The sequence below is a fragment of the Homo sapiens genome, chromosome 16, assembly GCF_000001405.40.
Source record: "Homo sapiens chromosome 16, GRCh38.p14 Primary Assembly".
Taxonomy (NCBI): Eukaryota; Metazoa; Chordata; class Mammalia; order Primates; family Hominidae; genus Homo; species Homo sapiens.
Genome location: NC_000016.10, coordinates 137,266 through 154,713, shown reverse-complemented (window position 1 = coordinate 154,713; position 17,448 = coordinate 137,266). Strand labels below are relative to the sequence as shown.

The 17,448-nt window shown below is 52.2% G+C and overlaps 2 protein-coding genes across 6 annotated transcripts in view, besides 8 other annotated features; one reads left to right on the top strand and one right to left on the bottom strand.

The window, feature by feature from the left end:
- HBZ (hemoglobin subunit zeta) lies at positions 211 to 2,070 on the bottom strand. The gene is made up of 3 exons (NM_005332.3): positions 1,710 to 2,070; positions 618 to 822; positions 211 to 442 (listed from the first exon to the last, which is right to left on the bottom strand). Exons 1-3 carry the CDS (start codon positions 1,802 to 1,804, stop codon positions 314 to 316), a joined length of 429 nt encoding a protein of 142 aa, NP_005323.1. The 5' UTR covers positions 1,805 to 2,070; the 3' UTR covers positions 211 to 313.
- Positions 1,860 to 17,448: part of a locus control region, noted in NCBI's record as "regulatory region from 0-65 kb upstream of the HBZ (hemoglobin, zeta) gene; 5' extent approximated based on the cNFG2 cosmid described in PMID:2253879", that runs on past the window's edge. NCBI's record gives its function as "regulates expression of the alpha-globin genes during erythroid development" and the evidence as "EXISTENCE:transgenic organism evidence [ECO:0001131][PMID:2253879, PMID:1425590, PMID:17110138]".
- Positions 5,861 to 6,860: a DNaseI hypersensitive site, noted in NCBI's record as "HS-4; the nucleotide coordinates are approximate for this feature". NCBI's record gives the evidence for it as "EXISTENCE:in vivo cleavage assay evidence [ECO:0001075][PMID:22955617]" and "EXISTENCE:manual assertion [ECO:0000218][PMID:8248238, PMID:7689876, PMID:17110138]".
- Positions 9,461 to 9,857: a transcriptional cis regulatory region, noted in NCBI's record as "candidate enhancer chr16.30 targeted for multiplex CRISPR interference". NCBI's record gives its function as "positively regulates HBZ gene expression with high confidence in K562 cells {active_cell/tissue: K562}" and the evidence as "EXISTENCE:mutant phenotype evidence [ECO:0000015][PMID:30612741]".
- Positions 9,942 to 11,946: a DNaseI hypersensitive site, noted in NCBI's record as "includes HS-8 and HS-10; erythroid-specific; 2005 bp BamHI-BglII fragment; the nucleotide coordinates are approximate for this feature". NCBI's record gives the evidence for it as "EXISTENCE:in vivo cleavage assay evidence [ECO:0001075][PMID:15782197]".
- Positions 11,241 to 11,759: a transcriptional cis regulatory region, noted in NCBI's record as "candidate enhancer chr16.29 targeted for multiplex CRISPR interference". NCBI's record gives its function as "positively regulates HBZ gene expression with high confidence in K562 cells {active_cell/tissue: K562}" and the evidence as "EXISTENCE:mutant phenotype evidence [ECO:0000015][PMID:30612741]".
- Positions 11,466 to 11,611: a conserved region, noted in NCBI's record as "conserved region; multispecies conserved sequence MCS-R4; overlaps HS-10". NCBI's record gives the evidence for it as "EXISTENCE:sequence alignment evidence [ECO:0000200][PMID:15998734]".
- NPRL3 (NPR3 like, GATOR1 complex subunit) overlaps positions 16,041 to 17,448 on the top strand; it is a 53,288-nt gene continuing 51,880 nt past the window's right edge. For 2 of the 5 annotated variants that reach the window (NM_001077350.3, NM_001243247.2), the window contains exons 1-2: positions 16,041 to 16,072; positions 16,380 to 16,564. In NM_001077350.3, coding sequence (NP_001070818.1) covers positions 16,447 to 16,564 — 118 coding nt within the window. In that variant the 5' untranslated portion in view covers positions 16,041 to 16,072; positions 16,380 to 16,446. Of the gene's footprint in view, positions 16,565 to 17,448 lie in introns of all 5 variants that reach the window. The other 3 variants (NM_001039476.3, NM_001243249.2, NM_001243248.2) reach the window with 2 other exon arrangements.
- Positions 16,112 to 16,161: an enhancer, noted in NCBI's record as "active region_10201". NCBI's record gives its function as "activates an Ori minimal core promoter by ATAC-STARR-seq in GM12878 lymphoblastoid cells {active_cell/tissue: GM12878}" and the evidence as "EXISTENCE:reporter gene assay evidence [ECO:0000049][PMID:35858748]".
- Positions 16,382 to 16,611: a silencer, noted in NCBI's record as "silent region_6902". NCBI's record gives its function as "represses an Ori minimal core promoter by ATAC-STARR-seq in GM12878 lymphoblastoid cells {active_cell/tissue: GM12878}" and the evidence as "EXISTENCE:reporter gene assay evidence [ECO:0000049][PMID:35858748]".

Here is a 17,448-nt window from a genome sequence, read left to right as displayed (position 1 = left end):
CTGCACCCCTTCTCCACCACGCCTGGGTCCCGAGTGACCCCCGCTCCCGCCCCGGGAGCTGCACATCCCTCTGCCTCTTAGAGACCCTGGGGTCGGTGCAAGGATCCCTGCGGCCCAGCAGTGGCCCCGAGACAGCCGGGGCGCCCTCCTCCCGCTCCGCCTCCCCAAGCGCCCGCCGCCCACGGACAACAGAGACCAGGTGGACGCTGCTTCGTTCATTGGTTTATTGGCGCATTACGCGGTAAGTGGGGCTGGGGAACCTCCAGGACGGGGGAGGGGCCGCAGCCTGTCCTGGGGGTCCCGGAGGCGGCGCTCAGCGGTACTTCTCGGTCAGGACAGAGGATACGACCGATAGGAACTTGTCCCAGGCGGCGTGGGCCTCGGCCGTGAAGTCGGCGGGGAAGCGCGCGGCCAGGGTGACCAGCAGGCAGTGGGACAGGAGCTGGGGGCGGGGGCGGCTCAGTGAGGGGGCGGGGCCTAGCCCGGGCCCCGCCCGGCGACCCCCGCATCCGCCCCGCGACCCCGCCCCTCCCCGCCCCTCCCCGCCCCGCCCCGCCCCGCCCCGCCCGCACCGCGCCCCGCCCCGTCCCGCCCCGCCCGCACCGCGCCCCGCGCACCTTGAAGTTGACCGGGTCCACGCGCAGGATGTAGGCGTGCAGCTCGCTCAGCTTGGACAGGGCGCCGCCGATGTCGTCGATGCTCTTCACCGCGTCGCCCACGGCGGCCACCACCTTGGAGCCGTGCGCGCGCAACTGCGCGGACCCCGGGTGCAGGTCGAAGTGCGGGAAGTAGGTCTTGGTCTGCGGGTGGCTGAGGAAGAGCCTGGGACGGGGGGCGGGGGCCGTGAGCTCCCAGCAGCGCGGCCTCCCGCCACGGCCCACGCGCCCTGCGGCCCTCTCCGAGCACCGGGACACATCTGCGACCCCGCAGCAGGCCCCAGCCCCTCCTCGCGGGGCCCGGGTGCCCAGGCAGCTGCCCCTCCCAGGCTGCCCTGGGCTAGAGGCCCCCCAGGCCTCTGCAGCTCCCGGCTGATCGCCCTGCTTCCGACGGGTTCTGTGCAGCCTGGTCCCCAAATCTCCCGCCCTCCGCCTCCAGCACGCCTGGTGCCCCCAGCCCCTCCACCGTCTCCTCTGGCCACAGGACCTCCCTCCCAGCCCCAGACTGGGTTGCCCGCCACCCCTTCTGCAGGCTCATGACCTCCCAGCAGCGTTCCAGGGAAGGAAAAGCTCCCTGGCCCCTCCCAGGGGATCAGATGCTGGGAATTTGAAGCTGGGACAGTGCCCTGATCCCAGATGCTGGGACTTTAGAGGCTGTAGTGCCCTGGCTGCCCTGTAAGGCCCTTCAGGCCTAGAACGAAACCTTTCACCCTCTGCTTGTCAGAACCTGGGCCTGTGCCTGCCCAGGTCTCAGCGAGCCCAGATGGTTGTGCAACTCCTAATCGTTCCCTCCTTACCCTGCTCTCCTCACTGAGAGGGAACGCTATCTGTCCTCACTGTCCCTTCCTCACTGTCCCCTCTCCACGGTTCCCTCCTCACTGTCCCCTCCCCAAGGTCCCCTCCTCACTGTCCTCTCCCCACAGTGCCCTCCCCACTGTCTCCTCTCCATGGTCCCCTCCCCACTGTCCCCTCCCCACCGCCCCCTCCCCACTGTCCCCACTCACATACCTGGCCTCCCACCCAGTCCCTCTGGCAGTCCCGTCTGACACTCACCTCTCCAGAGTCTCGGTGCCGATGGTGTCGGCCTGCGTGGAGATCTTGGCCCACATGGACACAATGATGGTCCTCTCAGTCTTGGTCAGAGACATGGCGGCAGGGTGGGCAGCTGCACTGGAGTTGGGCCTGCTCAGGACTGGCCTTGGTAGTGCTCAGCCCCCAGGGTCCCCTTATATACAGGGAGCTGGGCCCAGCCAGGCTGTGGCCATTGGTCAGGTGAGGGGAGGGGGCTGCAGGGGTGGTGTTTCTTATCAGATCCAGTGACAAAGGGGCCCTCAGGGCCTGGTGGGACTGGGGTTTGGGGGCTATCACTCCTGTTCCTCTCCTGTGGCCTTACAGGGGGTGTTGGCCAGAGTCTGACCACAGAGTCTAGGAGAGATAGGGGCCCCACCCTCCCAGGAAGTCACTCCTGCATTTGTAGTCCAGTTCTGCACCGTCCTTATTCATTTCAGAATCACGACTTGGGGGAAACCAGAGGAGCAGGGCCCAGTAAGCAGCCTCCTGGGACCAAGCCCCACGGTCGGCTGACACCGACCTCAGGCAGCCCTGCCCAACCACATGCCAGTACCCTTCCACTTTGTCTCTGGATTCCTGGGTTTCCTCCAAGAAAGCAAGGGTTAGGTCCACCCAGCGCTGAGGGGAGATGTACTGGATCTGTCCCCTGACAAGCAGGAGGAGGCAGCAGGTCCGGGGACAAAGGAGAATTCACCTAATGTCATGTGCTAATAGGCATTGCAATATTGCTTTCCATATTAGTTATTGTAACATAATGAGGCAAATATTCCTTTTAATTTTTTTTTCTTTTTTTGAGATGGAATCTCGATTTGTCGCCCAGGGTGGAGTGCAGTGGTGCGATCTCAGCTCACTGCAACCTCTGACTCCCTGGTTCAAGTGATTCTTCTGCCTCAGCCTCATGAGTAGCTGGGATTACAGGCACCCGGCATCATCTCTGGCTAATTTTTGTATTTTCATAGAGATGGGGTTTCACCATGTTGGCCAGGATGGTCTCGATCTCCTGACTCCTGATCCACCTGCCTCAGCCTCCCAAAGTGCTGGGATTACAGGCATGAGCCACTGTGCCCGGCCAATTTTTTTTTTTTTTTTTTTTTTTTTTTTAGTAGAGACGGGGTTTCACCATCTTGGCCAGGCTGCTTGAACTCCTGACCTTGTGATCCACCCGCCTTGGCCTCCCAAAGTGCTGGGATTACAGGCATGAGCCAGCGCGCCTAGCCAATATCTTTTCAAGTATTTTGTCTTTTTTTTGAGACGGAGTCTCGCTCTGTTGCCCAGGCTGGAGCGCAGTGGTGCGATCTCCACTCACTGCAAGCTCCGCCTCCCAGGTTCACGCCATTCTCCTGCCTCAGCCTCCCGAGTAGCTGGGACTACAGGCACCTGCCACCATGCCTGGCTAATTTTTTGTATTTTTAGTAGAGACAGGGTTTCACCGTGTTAGCTAGGATGGTCTCAATCTCCTGACCTTGTGATCCGCCTGCCTCGGCCTCCCAAAGTGCTAGGATTACAGGCGTGCACCACCACGCCTGGCCTGTTTTGCCCATTTAAAAATTGGGTGGTTTATTCTCTTAAGGATGAATTTTTAGAATTCTGTGTATCGTCTGGAAGCAATCCCTTGTCAGATATGCAATTTGCAAATGTTTTCTCTTAGTTTGTAGCTTGTTAGTTCATTCTCTTAATATTGTCTTTTGTAGAGCAAAAGTTTTAATAAAGTCCAATTTGTCAAAAAATTTTAAATGAATCTTACTTAGTGCCATGCCTAGGAACTGTCTGCCTAACCACAGAACACAAAGAGTTTCACCTATATTTTCTTCTAAAGTTGTATAGTTTATGTTTATATTGAGATCTACAATCCATTTTGAGATGACTTTTGTCTGAGGTGTGAAGGGCAGGTCCAGATTCTTCTGTTTGCTTGTTTGTTTTTTTGCCTACAGATGTCCAATTGTTCCAGCACTGTTTTTTGAAAAAGCTATACGCTTTCTATTCAGTTGGCTTCTCGCACTTATTTGTAAAAAATGAATGGGGCATAGGTTTGCGGGTCCATTTCTGGGCTCTCTGTTCTGTTCTGTGTGTCTATCCTTTACCACAGCCACAGTGCCTTGATTAACATAGCTCTGTGATGTCTTAAAATTGAATGATGTCTCACAGAATGAGAGAAACATATTTGCAAATCATATATCTGATAGGGAAGTTATCCAAACACATACAAAATATCTTTTTTGTTTTTGTTTTTTTTTTAGACAGAGTCTTGCTCTGTCACCCAGACTGGAGTGCAGCGGCGTAATCCTGGCTCGCTGCAACCTCTGCCTCCTGGGTTCAAGCAATTCTCATACCTCAGCCTCCTGAGTAGCTGGGACCACGGGTGTGCATCACCATGGCTGGCTAATGGTTTTTTTTTTTTTGTGACAGAATTTCGCTCTTGTCGCCCAGGCTGGAGTACAATGGCATGATCTCAGCTCACCACAACCTCTGCCTCCTGGGCTCAAGCCATTCTCCTGCCTCAGCTTCGTGAGTAGCTGGGATTACAGGCATGCACCACCACACCCGGCTAATTTTGTATTTTTAGCGGAGTCGGGGTTTCTCCATGTTGGTCAGGCTGGTCTTGAGCCCCCGACCTCAGGTGATCCACCCGCCTTGGCCTCCCAAAGTGCTGGGATTACAGGCGTGAGTCACCACGCCTGGCCACACCTGGCTAATTTTTTTGTATTTTTAGTAGAGATGGTGTTTTGCCATGTTGGCCAGCCTGGTCTCGAACTCCTGACCTCAAGTGATTTGCCCACCATAGCCTCCTAAAGTGCTGGGATTACAGGCGTTAGCCACCGTGCTTGGCCCAAAATATCTTACAACTCAGTAATAAATAGACAAGTAATCAATTAAAAAATGGCAGCTGGGTGTGGTGGCGCGATCTCGGCTCATGGCAACCTCCGTCTCCCGGGTTCAAGCAATTCTCTTGCCTCAGTCTTCCGAGTAGCTGGGAGTACAGGCATGAGCCACCACGCCTGGCTAATTTTGTATTTTTAGTAGAGACGGGGTTTCTCCATGTTGGTCAGACTGGTCTCGAATTCCCGACCTCAGGTGATCTGCCCGCTTCAGCCTCCCAAAGTGCTGGGATTACAGGCGTGAGCCACCGCGCCCGGCCTGAATTATACACTTTAAATGGGTGAACCGTATGGTATGTGAATTTTATCTCAATAGAGCTGTTAAAAATTGAGGAATGTGATTCCTCTCGCTTTATTCTTCCTTTTCAAAATTTCTTTGGCTATTCTAATTTCTTTACCTTTCTGTATTAATTTTAGAGTTAGCCAAAGAGTTATCTGCACAAAATCCTGCTGGAATTATGATGCAGTCAAAGGCAAATGTTTTCTTTAAGGAGAAGTTTGTTTTGTTTTGTTTTCCCCTGTCAGGAGAGCTTTGACCACAGGCATTTTTTTTTGAGATGGAGCCTGGCCCTGTCATCCAGGCTGGAGTGTACTTGATGTTTTACTCGTGTAATGGCCCTCATTCTTCCATGCCTGAGATATGAGATGATGAGATTGTCAGGGGTTGAGGGCAGCAGCAGCCTTTGATGCCCTCCGGGCTTAGCAGATGGGAGGGGCTCTCCACCAGGCTTCCAGGAACTCCCTTCTAGCACTGCGTGGATCCTCCTTGCTGGTCTGTTCCTCGTGCACATTTCACAGCGGCTCCTCTCTCCCATGGGTGTGCCCACCCACTCTGGCCTTACCCCTGTCTTGCTCACTGTCCTGGGAAGTGCTGCTGACCGCAGGAGGCCAGTGTATCCTTTGCTCATCTGGGGCTTCTTTCAGACCGAGATGAACTGGCCCTCCCTGGTCACCCTTCGCTGTTGCTGGGTTCAGAAGGACACTCCTGGTTCATCTCAGCCTGGCACCTAGGGGCACCTTGGGCACATGGGCCCATGAGGAGGGGATGTGGGTCTGTGCCTGAGGTTTCGGCTTCTCAATAGGAGAGAAGGTGGCAGAGAGAGGGACAGAGACAGATGAATAGACTGGCAGAGAAGACAGTGAGTGATGGAGGAGGCTGAGGGTCAGGCGGAGGGAGATATACAGAGCAGGGAAGGCAAGTCCAGAGGCCGAGCGCACGGGGCATTTGGGCCGTGAAGGGCTCTCAGTGCCTGGGAGAATTCCTCCAGCTGCAGAGTGAGGACCTGTGCCCAGAAGGCACTGCAGGGCTGCTCTGCCCCCTAACAGAGGAGGAAGTAGAGTCCTGTTTCCAGGGTAGGTGCCACCCACGCTGAGGAATGGTCCTTAGCCATTTTGAGGCCCCAGGGCCTCCTCTTTCCCTACTGGAACCACCTGCTCTTCCCATCCTTGGCCCCCGCAAGGAGAGGAATTGAATCTGAAATTTCCAAACCTGCAAAGCAGCGTTATGGGCAGGAGCTCTTTTCTGTTTTTCCATTGTGAAATATAGCACAAGATGTAGACTATAGTTTAACGAATTATTAGAAAGCGGACAGCACCCCAATCCTCCCCAAAGGTAACCTCCACCTGACTTCTTGCTTTTCAGTAAGTTTTTTTTTTTTTGAGAGGGAGTCTCGCTCTGCTGCCCAGGCTGGAGTGCAGTTGCACGATCTTAGCTCACTGCAAGCTCCACCTCCCGGATTCATGCCATTCTCCTGCCTCAGCCTCTCGAGTAGCTGGGACCACAGGCACTAGCCACCATACCTGGCTAATTTTTTATATTTTTAGTAGAGACGGGGTTTCACCGTGTTAGCCAGGATGGTCTCGATCTCCTGACCTCGTGATCCGCCCGCTTCCCAAAGTGCTGGGATTAAAGGCGTGAGCCAGGCCTGCTTTTCAGTAAGTTTTTAACTACTCAGATATGCATCTGCAAGCACTTTGGTTGTTTTTGCCTGCTTTTCACCTTCATAGAAATGAAACGATACAGAATGCTCTCATTTGTGTCTGTCTGGCTTTTGTTTATTTGTTTTGAGACAGGGTCTTGCTCTATTGCCCAGGCTGGAGTGCAGTGGTACGATCATAGCTCATTGCAGCCTCGACCTCCCAGGCTTAAGTGATCCTCCTGCCTCAGCCTCCCAAGTAGCTGGGATCACAGGCACATGCCACCATGCCCAGCTAATTTTTTTTTTTTTTTTGTAGAGGTGGGGTTTCACCATGTTGCTCAGGCTTGTCCTGAACTCCTGGGCTCAAGTGATCCTTCTGCCTTGGCCTCCCAAAGTGCTTGGATTACAGGCATGAGCCACTTTATGCAATCTGTTATTTATTTATTTAATTTATTTATTTTTAATTATTATTTTTTTGAGATGGAGTCTCGCTCTGTCGCTCAGGCTGGAGTGCAGTGGCATGATCTCGGCTCACTGCAAGCTCCACCTCCCGGGTTCATGCCATTCTCCTGCCTCAGCCTCCTGAGTAGCTGGGACTACAGGCGCCCGCCACCATGCCCGGCTAATTTTTTTGTATTTTCAGTAGAGACAGGGTTTCACTGTGTTAGCCAGGATGGTCTTGATCTCCTGACCTCGTGATCTGCCCACCTCAGCCTCCCAAAGTGCTGGGATTACAGGCATGAGCCACTGCTCCCGGCCTGTTGGTTATTTATTTATTTATCTATTTATTTTCGAGACGCAGTCTTGCTCTGTCACCCAGGATGGAGTACAGTGATGCGATCTTGGCTCACTGCAACCTCCGCCTCCTAGGTTCAAGTGATTCTCCTGCCTCAGCCTCCCGAGTAGTTGGGACTACAGGCATGCACCACCACACCTGGCTAATTTTTGTATTTTCTAGTAGAGATGGGGTTTCACTGTGTTAGCCAGGCTGGTCCTGAACTCCTGACCTCAGGTGATCTGCCCGCCTTGGCCTCTGTAAGTGCTAGGATTATAGATGTGAGCCACCAAGCCTGGCCTTTAAAAAAATATTTTTAATCCAACTGTCTGCACACTGAATGTCCATCTTCTTTCACTCTCTCATGTCAGATTTACCAGCCATGTTATATGTGTTCATTTTCATTGCTGTATCTATTAATATTTCCTTGTAGGAATATACCACAGTTTATTCATTGTACTGGGGCTGGAACTTTGTGTTGTTTAGTTCTTGGCTATTATGAATAATGCTGCAATAAACATTCCTTTACATGTCACCTGGTACCCACATGCCTGAAATTCTATTTTGTACATACATACCTAGGAGTAAAGTTGCTGGGTCATAGGGCATATAGATTTTCAACTTTAGTAAAGAATGCCAAACTTTTTCACAGTGGTTAACCAACTTATGTTTTCCCTAGTGGTGTGCGAGCATTCTCCTTGCTCCAAATCCTTCTAAACATTTGATATGATCGGTGTAGTACTCCATTTTCTGTTGCTTATAATAGAATACCTGAGACTGTGGAATTTATTTTAAAAGGAATTTATTTCCTATAGTTACGGAGGCTGAGAAGTTTCGAGCCCAGTGGGGACTCGTGCAGAGTCCCAAAGTGGCACAGAGTATTAATCGCAGGTCGTGTGGGCTGAGCATGCTTGTGTGCCACCTCAGATCTCTCTTCTTTTTTTTTTTGAGACAGAGTCTTGCTCTGTCGCCCAGGCTGGAGGGCAGTGGCGCGATCTCGGCTCACTGCAAGCTCCGCCTCCCAGGTTCACGCCATTCTCCTGCCTCAGCCTTCCTAGTAGCTGGGACTACAGGTGCCCGCCACCACGCCCGGCTAATTTTTTTGCATTTTTTTTTTAGTAGAGACAGGGTTTCACTGTGTTAGCCAGGATGGTCTCGATCCCCTGACCTTGTGATCCGCCCATCTCGGCCTCACAAAGTGCTGGGATTACAGGTGTCAGCCACCGTGCCCGGCCAGGTCTCTCTTCTTATAAAGCCACCAGCCACACTCCCATGACAACTCATTAATCCATTCCTTGGGGGAGGACCCTCATGATCCAACCTCCTTACCCCAAAGGCCCCACCTCTCAACGCTGCCACACTGGGGATTAAGTTTCAACAAGAGTTTTAGAGGAGACAAACATTCCAACCATAGCAGTCAAACTCCTGGTCTTCTTAAATTTTAGCCTTTTTTAGGCCGGGCACAGTGGCTGATGCCTGTAATCTCAGCACTTTGGGAGGCCAAGGCGGGCAGATCACGAGGTCAGGAGTTCGAGACTAGCCTTGCCCACATGGTGAAACCCCGTCTCTACTTAAAAATGCAAAATTAGCTGGGTGTGGTGGTGTGCGCCTGTAATCCCAGGTACTCAGGAGGCTGAGGCAGGAGAATCGCTTGAACCCAGGAGGCGGAGGTTGCAGTGAGCCAAGATCGCGCCATTGTACTCCAGCCTGGGCAATAGAGTGAGACTTCATCTCAAAAAAAAAAAAAAATTACCTTTTTATTGGGTGTGTGATTTTTGGTGAGTGTGTAGTGGTTTCTCTTGTGGTCTTAATTTACATTTTCCTGATAATTAGTGAGGTTGAGCCCATATTTACTGGCCATTTCGGTTTCCTCTTTATTAAAGTATTTTAGTCTTGGCCACTTTCCCACTGTGTTGCCAGTCACTGATTTGTAGAAATTTCAAAAATATTCTGGATATAATTCCTTTGTCACTTTTATGTGTTAGATCTCCCCAACTCTGTATCTTAGTGATATTCTCGTTAAACAAAAGTTTGTAATTTTAATGCAGTCAAACTAGTGACTTTAAAAATCCAATTAAAAAATGTTATCCCTTCCATTCCCAATAGCCAAAAGGTAGAAACAACCCAAATGTCCATCACTGGATGAACAGATAAGCAAACTGTGATATTTCCACACCGTGAGATATTATTCAGCCATGAAAATGAAGTTCTGACCCAGGCTACGACATGGACAAGCCTCGAACCATTACACCAAGTGAAGGACGTCACACACCAGAGGCTACGTGCTGCATGAAACTGTGGGGCTTAGATAAGCCATTTTTAGGAAACATCCAGAATGGGCAAATCCCAGCAGAAAGTAGATTAGTGGTTGTCAGGGCCGGGGAGGACAAAGGCCGGGAGAGATGCCTCCGTGAGGAGGGCGTTTCCATCTGAGGCGATGAAAATGTCCTGGAACCAGGGAGAAGTGGTTGTTGCACAACACTCTGAATGTGCTGAATGCCGTTGACTTGCTCTCGTTAAAATGGTTATCTTTACGTGATGCAAATTTTATCTCAAAGTGAAGAGAGTCTCCTAGACCACATTTTTTTTTTTTTTTTGAGACAGGGTCTCAGTGTCTCGCCCAGATTGGAGTGCAGTGGCGCCATCTTGGCTCACCGCAACCCTCTACCTCCCAGGCTCAAGCGATTCTCCTACCTCAGCCTCCCAAGTAGCTGGGATTACAGGTACATGCCACTACCACCCGGCTAACTTTTTTTTTTTTTTTTTTTTTGAGACGGAGTCTCTCTCTGTCTCCCAGGCTGGAGTGCAATGGCGCGATCTCAGCTCACTGTACCTCCGCCTCCTGGGTTCAAGCGATTCTCCTGCCTCAGCCTCCCGAGCAGCTGGGATTACAGGCACGTAGCACTACACCCGGCTAATTTTTTGAATCTTTAGTAGAGACGGGGTTTTACCACGTTGGTCAGGTGGTCAGGCTGGTCTCGAACTCCTGACCCTGTGATCCGCCCGCCTCAGCCTTCCAAAGTGCTGAGATTACAGGCATGAGCCACAGTGCCCGGCCACTAGACCACATTTCTAAAAGCTTTACAGTGTGGTCTTTTGCGTTTGGTGACAGTCAACCTTGGGTTGACTGTGTTGAGGGGAGTCCATGTCTGTTTGGCTGGCATCTGTTGAGCACTTTCTAAGTTCTGCACATGGCAGCAACACTCTTCATTCTGGGTGCTTTATCCTCACAACCACCCTGTGAGGGAGGGTTTATTTTATTGTCATTAGTTGGGTTTTTTGTTTGTTTGTTTTGTTATGTTTTGTTTTGTTACAGGGTCTTCTTACTCTGTCCTCCAGGCTAGAGTGCAGTGTGACAATCTTGGCTCACTGCAGGCTCAACTTCCCAAGCTCAGGTGATCCTCCCACCTCAGCCTCCTGAGTAGCTGGGACTATAGGCATGTGCCACTATGCCTGGGTAATATTTGTGTTTTTAGTAGAGATGGCGTTTTGCCATGTTGCCCAGGCTGGCCTCAAACTCCTGAGCTCCAGTGATCCACCCACCTCGGCCTCCTAAAGTGCTTGGGATTACAGGCGTGAGCCACTGCACATGGGCATCATTACATTGGAAAGATAAGGAAACGGAGGCTCCAGGAGGTTATGAAACATGTCTGAGGCTTCCATGGAGCAGGAAACAAGCCCTGATGGTTTGTGTGGGCTGGGAGTCCGGCTGGGGCTGGGGCTTGTCCCTTCCTGTCCCTGGGCCTTGGTTTGAGCCCCAGCCTGTGCAGTGAGTGTGGAATGCTGGTGTCCACTGGTGGTTTCTGGCCTGAATTCCAAGCTCCAGGCACGTTCTGTGCCTGAGCAGCTGAGGCTGAGCTCAAAGGGTGTCTGGCCACTTACAAGCCACTGGACACTCAGCAGAATGCCGGATTGGGCATCTGCAAACTCTCCCATGAGAGTGGACCCTCGGTGACCCTGAACAGGCTAATTTGCCTTGTGAGTCCTAGTTTCACTGTTTTCACCTCTAGGATGGGGATTAGACTAGCCCCCACCTCAGTGTTGGGAGGGCGCTCAGGAACTTGCAGCATGAATTTTAAATTATTTCTATTACTACTGTGTGTGAGTGGTTCTCCCTGGTGGGGCAGCAACACTCAGCTGAGAAGGTGGAGGTGTCCAGGCAAGTCCCAGATAGCGTCTGTGAACCCCACCCGGCCCTCCTGCAGATGGCGGTGGCCCTTTGAGGCCCAGACCAAGTGGCAGGACCGATAAGGCCTCCTATCCTGCCAAGGGCAGGCCCAGGCTGGGAGGAAGGGTCAGGGGTTTCAGTTTCCAAAAATCTACTTACCGTCAAAAAAGCAGGTCATGAAACAGCTATTTAAAGGTAAAATGAGGAGACTTGGAGGTGTGGGGTCTTAGCAGAGAAGAGCCTGAGGATGTCCCCTGTAGCAAATGGAGGTTGGCCCTGGTGCTTCATTGTCCAGGAGACCCTGGGAGAACTTAGAGCTGGGACTCACTCAGGGACCATCTGCTCTGAACCCTGTTACTGGTGGGGAAACTGAGGTCCAAAGCAAGGCCCACTGACCCTCAGGCCAGCGTGTGACAATGATGTCTCATTTCTGTCACAGCCAATGAGGTGCAAACATGGACATGAGGGTGGCGCTGGGATCCAGAGTGCTGCTTCGAGGGCAGGGACGCACCCAGGACCTCTGTGGGCTGGGGTCATGGTGAGCTCCCTGCACTTTCACCAGTTCGAGCTCTCATTATGACTGACGATAGTCAGAAGAATGAACAATGAGTGCCAGGGTTACTGGCAGGAGGCCAACCCTGAGAGGGTAACCGGGGGAACAGTGGGATCCTTTGAGCCCAGAGATGTCCAGTCTGGAGCCCCAAGGTTCTGCCCATTGGGGCAGCAGCACGATTAGGTCAGAAGAGCGAGACCTGAGTCACAGTCCTGCTCCATTCGCATGGTCGCTGTGAGGGTCCCTGTGAGGAGGCCTCCATTACCACCACCGGCCACTGCCCTGGGTTCCCCCACCCCCATCTGTCCCATCTCACCCCTCCAGCCTCAAGCCCTGCTCCTGCAGTCTCATTTCCATCCCAGAGGCACTCCTGGGAAGTGCGGGAGAACTCACAAACCTTTTGATTATACATAAAATCAAAACATGGACAACGGGGATAAAGCCTTGCAAAATGTGTAGCAGAGGTTATGTATTCCTCAGAAAGAACACAGCCAGACCATCCAAGAACAGACCACCTGTAAAGAAAACAAGAAAAGCAATTCTCTGCAAATAATTAAGTGATGCAGCTCTCCCTCTCAATCAAAGAAATGCAACATAGAACAAGACACCATTTTCCTTTCTGGGAATTTCAGGAAAAAAAAAAATGTTATGCAGGCCGGGCACGGTGGCTCACGCCTGTAATCCCAGCACTTTGAGAGGCCGAGGCGGGTGGATCAAGAGGTCAGGAGATCGAGACCATCCTGGCTAACGCGGTGAAACCCCGTCTCTACTAAAAATACAAAAAAATTAGCCGGACGTGGTGGCGGGCGCCTGTAGTCTCAGCTACTGGGGAGGCTGAGGCAGGAGAATGGTGTGAACCTGGGAGGTGGAGCTTGCAGTGAGCTGAGATCGTGCCACTGCACTCCAGCCTGGGCGACAGAGCAAGACTCCATCTCAAAAAAAAAAAAAAAATTAGCCTGGTGTGGTGGCGGGCACCTGTAGTCCCAGCTACTTGGGAGGCTGAGGCAGGAGAATGATGTGAACCTGGTAGGTGGAGCTTGCAGTGAACTGAGATTGTGCCACTGCCCTCCAGCCTGGGTGATAGAGCGAGACTCTGTCTCAAAAAAAAAAAAAAAATGTTATGCAGCCCTGTGCAAGAAAACGCACCTGTTGGTACTGTTGAGCCATTTCAAATGCACGTACCCTTCACCCTGGTGAGGCCAATCCACAAATTTGTTCTGCAAAATACACATTAGTGTCAGTGTTGGTGCAAGAGGGTTACTTGCAACAGTGAAAATGCTCATCCCTCAGTCAAGTGGTTAGGTTCTGATGCATTTGATGTGCTTGGGAAAGTTCTGGAAGCAGCCAAAGAAGCTCATTACCTTTAGTTACCTCCTGGGGAAGCCTGGGATAGGGTAGGTGGGGTGATTTTTTAAAAAACAACTTCATTGAGATATAATTTACCATACCATACCAATTTGCATACCATAAAGCTTATCCACTTCAAGTGTACACTTCCATATCTTTTTTTTGTTTTTGAGATGGAGTCTCGCTCTGTCGCCCAGGCTGGAGTGCAATGGTGCGATCTTGGCTCACTGCAAGCTCCGCCTCCCGGGTTCACACCATTCTCCTGCCTCAGCCTCCTGAGTATCTGGGACTACAGGCGCCCGCACCATGTCCAGCTAATTTTTTGTATTTTTAGTAGACACGGGGTTTCACTGTCTTAGCCAGGATGGTCTCGATCTCCTGACCTCGCGATCCGCCTGCCTTGGCCTCCCAAAGCGCTGGGATTACAGGCATGAGCCACTGCGCCCGGCACTTCCATGTCTTTTAGTGTATTCGCGTTCTCAGAGCTGTCCAACCATTACCACAGTCAACGTTAGAACATTTTCATCACTCCCCTTCAAAAAACCCATGAATCGCTCCATATTTCCCCTGACCCCCTGGAAGCCCTAGGCAGCCACTAATCATTCTGTCTCTATGGATTTGCCTATTCTGGGCATCTTATATAAATGGAATCATATATTAGTGTGTCTTCAAGATGGATTCATGTGCCGTACTTCATTCCTTTTTATGGCTGAATAGTATTCCCTTAAACAAACTATACCATATTCACCCATTCATCAATTGATATACCCTAGGATTGCTTCCACTTTGGGCTATTATGAATAATATTACTAAGAACACACATGTTTTTGTGTGGACATATGCTTTCATTTCTCTTGGCTATATATCTAAAAGGGGGATTTGCCGAGTGTTGTGTTAACTCTAACCTTTCAGGAACTGCCAGCCTGTTTTCCATAGCGAGTGTAGCCTCTTACATTCCCACCAGCAGGAGAGAGATTCCCGTTTCTCCACACCCCTGCTGACGCTTGTCTTTTTGATTACAGCCATCGTAGGAGGTGTGATGTGGCATCTATTTGTAGTTTTGATTTGCATCTCCCTAATGCCTAATAATGTTGAGCATTTTTAATTTCTGTTTTGCCCAGGCTGGTCTGGAGTTCCTGGCCTCTCAGCGCTGGGGTCACAGGCGTAAGCCTCTACCAGTTGAGCTGAGCATCTTCTGGTGCTTATTGGCCATTTGCATAATGCACTGGAAAAATATTCATATCCTTTGTGCATTTTTCAATTGTCTTTTTATTGTTGAGTTGTAAGTTTCCTCCATTCTAGATACAATTCCCTTATCAGATATGTAACTTACAAATATTTTCTCCCGTTCTGTGGGTGGACTTTTAATTTTCTTGATGGTGTCCTTTAAAGCACCGAAGTTTTTGTTTTGTTTTGAGATGGAGTCTCGCTCTGTCGCCAGGCCAGAGTTCAGTGGCACGATCTCGGCTCACTGCAACCTCCGCCTCCCGGCTTCAAGCGATTCTCCTGCCTCAGCCTCCCGAGTAGCTGGGATTAGAAGCAGGCGCCGCCAAACCCAGCTAATTTTTGTATTTTTAGTAGAGAGACGGGGTTTTACCATGTTGGCCAGGATGGTCTAGATCTCCTGATCTCATGATCTGCCCACCTCGGCCTCCCAAAGTGCTGGGATTTCAGGCGTGAGCCACCGCGCCCGGCCGCAGTAAAGTTTTTAATCTGATGAAGTTTAATTTATTCTTCTGTAGTCGCTCCTGCCTTTAGTGTCACTGCCTCGCCCAAGGTCTCAAAGATCTCCTGTCGGCTTCCAAGTGTTTTTTTTTTTTTTTTTTTTTTTTGAGACGGAGTCTCGCTCTGTCGCCTAGGCTGTAGTGCAGTGGCGCAATCTCGGCTCACCGCAAGCTCCGCCTCCCGGGTTCAAGCGATTTTCCTGTCTCAGCCTCCCGAGTAGCTGGGATTACAGGCGCCCGCCACCACGCCCGGCTAATTTTTTTTTTTTTTTTTGTAGAGACGGGGTTTCACCATGTTGGCCAGGATGGTCTCGAACTCCTGACCTCGTGATTCACCCGCCTCGGCCTCCCAAAGTGCTGGGATTACAGGCGTGAGCCACCGCGCCCGGCCTTTTTTTTTTCTTTTTTCTTTCTTTCTTTCTTTTTTTTTTTTTTGATACGGGGTCTCGTCGCTCTGTCGCCCAGGGTGGAGTGCAATGGCGTGATCTTGGCTCAATGCAACCTCCGCCTCCCGGGTTCAAGCGATTCTCCTCTAGGATTACGGGCGCCTGCCACCACGCCCGGATAATTTCTTCTAATTTTTAGTAGAGATGGGGTTTCACTATGTTAGCTAGGATGGTCTCGATCTCCTGACCTCGTGATCCGCCCGCCTCGGCCTCCCAAAATGCTGGGATTACAGGCGTGAGCCACCGCGCCCCGCCCAAGTGTTATTTGTAAAACGAAGAAACCAACATCGAGAGGGACGCTGACTCGACCCCGCGCCTTTCCCATCCGCACCAGCAAGAGGGGCCCCTGTGCCCCAAACGCGAACCGTACGGCTCCAGACAGCACCGCGGAACTCGGTGGCTTCCAGAAGGCCCCGCGCCTGCGCATTCCGCTGCCTGCGCCTGCGCCTGCGCCTGCGCCGTTCTCCCGGCCGCCGCCTTAGCACCTCCTCCGGACGGTGTCGCCGAAGTCTCGCGAGCCCGGAGCGTGGCACGTGGGTTGGTAACTGTGGCGCTGCTCCGCGTCCACCACCACCCCTGTCCTCCTCAGGCCCCCTCCGCCTCCACCCCTGCCCTCCTCAGGCCCCCTCCGCCTCCACCCCTGCCCTACTCAGGCCCCCTCCGCCTCCACCCCTGCCCTCCTCAGGCCCCCTCCGCCTCCACCCCTGCCCTCCTCAGGCCCCCTCCGCCTCCACCCCTGCCCTCCTCAGGCCCCCTCCGCCTCCACCCCTGCCCTCCTCAGGCCCCCTGCGTCCCCGCCTCGTCCTCCTCAGGCCCCCTCCGCCTCCGGCTCCGTCCTCCTCAGGCCCCCTCCGCCTCCGGCTCCGTCCTCCTCTGGCCCCCTCCGCCCCCGGCCCCGGCCCCACGGCGGGATGCGGGACAACACCAGCCCCATCAGCGTGATTCTGGTGAGCTCGGGGAGCAGGGGCAATAAGCTGCTGTTCAGGTACCCCTTCCAGAGAAGCCAGGAGCACCCGGCGTCCCAGACAAGTAAGTGAGCGCTGGGCGGGGGCCTGGCGCTCGCGGGGGCCGCCTCATTCCGGGGTCGCCTCATTCCAGGGCCGCCTCGCGGAGCTTAGCTTTTGCTGGGCATTCGAGATCTGCTCGTTGTAGAGTATTTGAAAAGTAGAAAAAGGAAAAAAAAAATTAAAATCATGCATTGTTCACCACACCAAAGCAACTACTGCTGACATTTCATCAGTCTCCAGCCTTTAAAAAATAAAGTAAAATAAAATAAAATGAGTTTGGGATGTATTCATCATGAGAAAATACAAAATTACACGAACAAGGCCGGTGGCGGTAATCCCAGCACTTTGGGAGGCCGAGGCGGGTGGATCACCTGAGGTCAGGAGTTCGAGACCAGCCTGGCCAACATGGTTGAAACTCTGTCTCTACTGAAAAAATAAAAATAAAAAAAAACAAATTAGCCGAGCGTGGTGGTGCGTGCCCATAATCCTAGCTACTTGGGAGGCTGAGGCAGGAGAATTGCTTGAACCCGGGAGGCGGAGGTTTCAGTGAACCGAGATCGCGCCACTGGATTCCAGCCTGGGCAACAGAGCAAGACTCCGTCTCAAAAAAAAAAAAAAAAGTTACGTGAACATCTGAAGTTGTCTTTGCCACCCCCAGTTCTAGCAAGCACAGGGATCACCCCTGGCCGTGTTGGGAGTTGTCTGCCCTGTGCATAGATGCAGATCTATCCACAGGAAAAGGGAACGTCGCGTGAGGTTTTTCATCGCACGAATTGTTCTGTGGCGCCCTTTTCCCATAGTCGGCCTTGGAGCTCCGTCTGCCTTTGCAAGCAGGGATCAACCTCACCCTTGGCTGCAGGCTGCTGCCTTCCCCTGTGGACGGCATGTAGGTTACTTTTGATTTTT

What these genes read in the sequence shown, in the direction of transcription:
- HBZ (NM_005332.3), bottom strand. Translation starts at nt 1,804, where the DNA reads ATGTCTCTGACCAAGACTGAGAGGACCATCATTGTGTCCATGTGGGCC. An exon ending in GGCACCGAGACTCTGGAGAG is followed by an intron (nt 823 to 1,709) that starts GTGAGTGTCAGA and finishes CCCCCGTCCCAG; the next exon opens with GCTCTTCCTCAGCCACCCGC. An exon ending in TGGACCCGGTCAACTTCAAG is followed by an intron (nt 443 to 617) that starts GTGCGCGGGGCG and finishes CCCCGCCCCCAG; the next exon opens with CTCCTGTCCCACTGCCTGCT.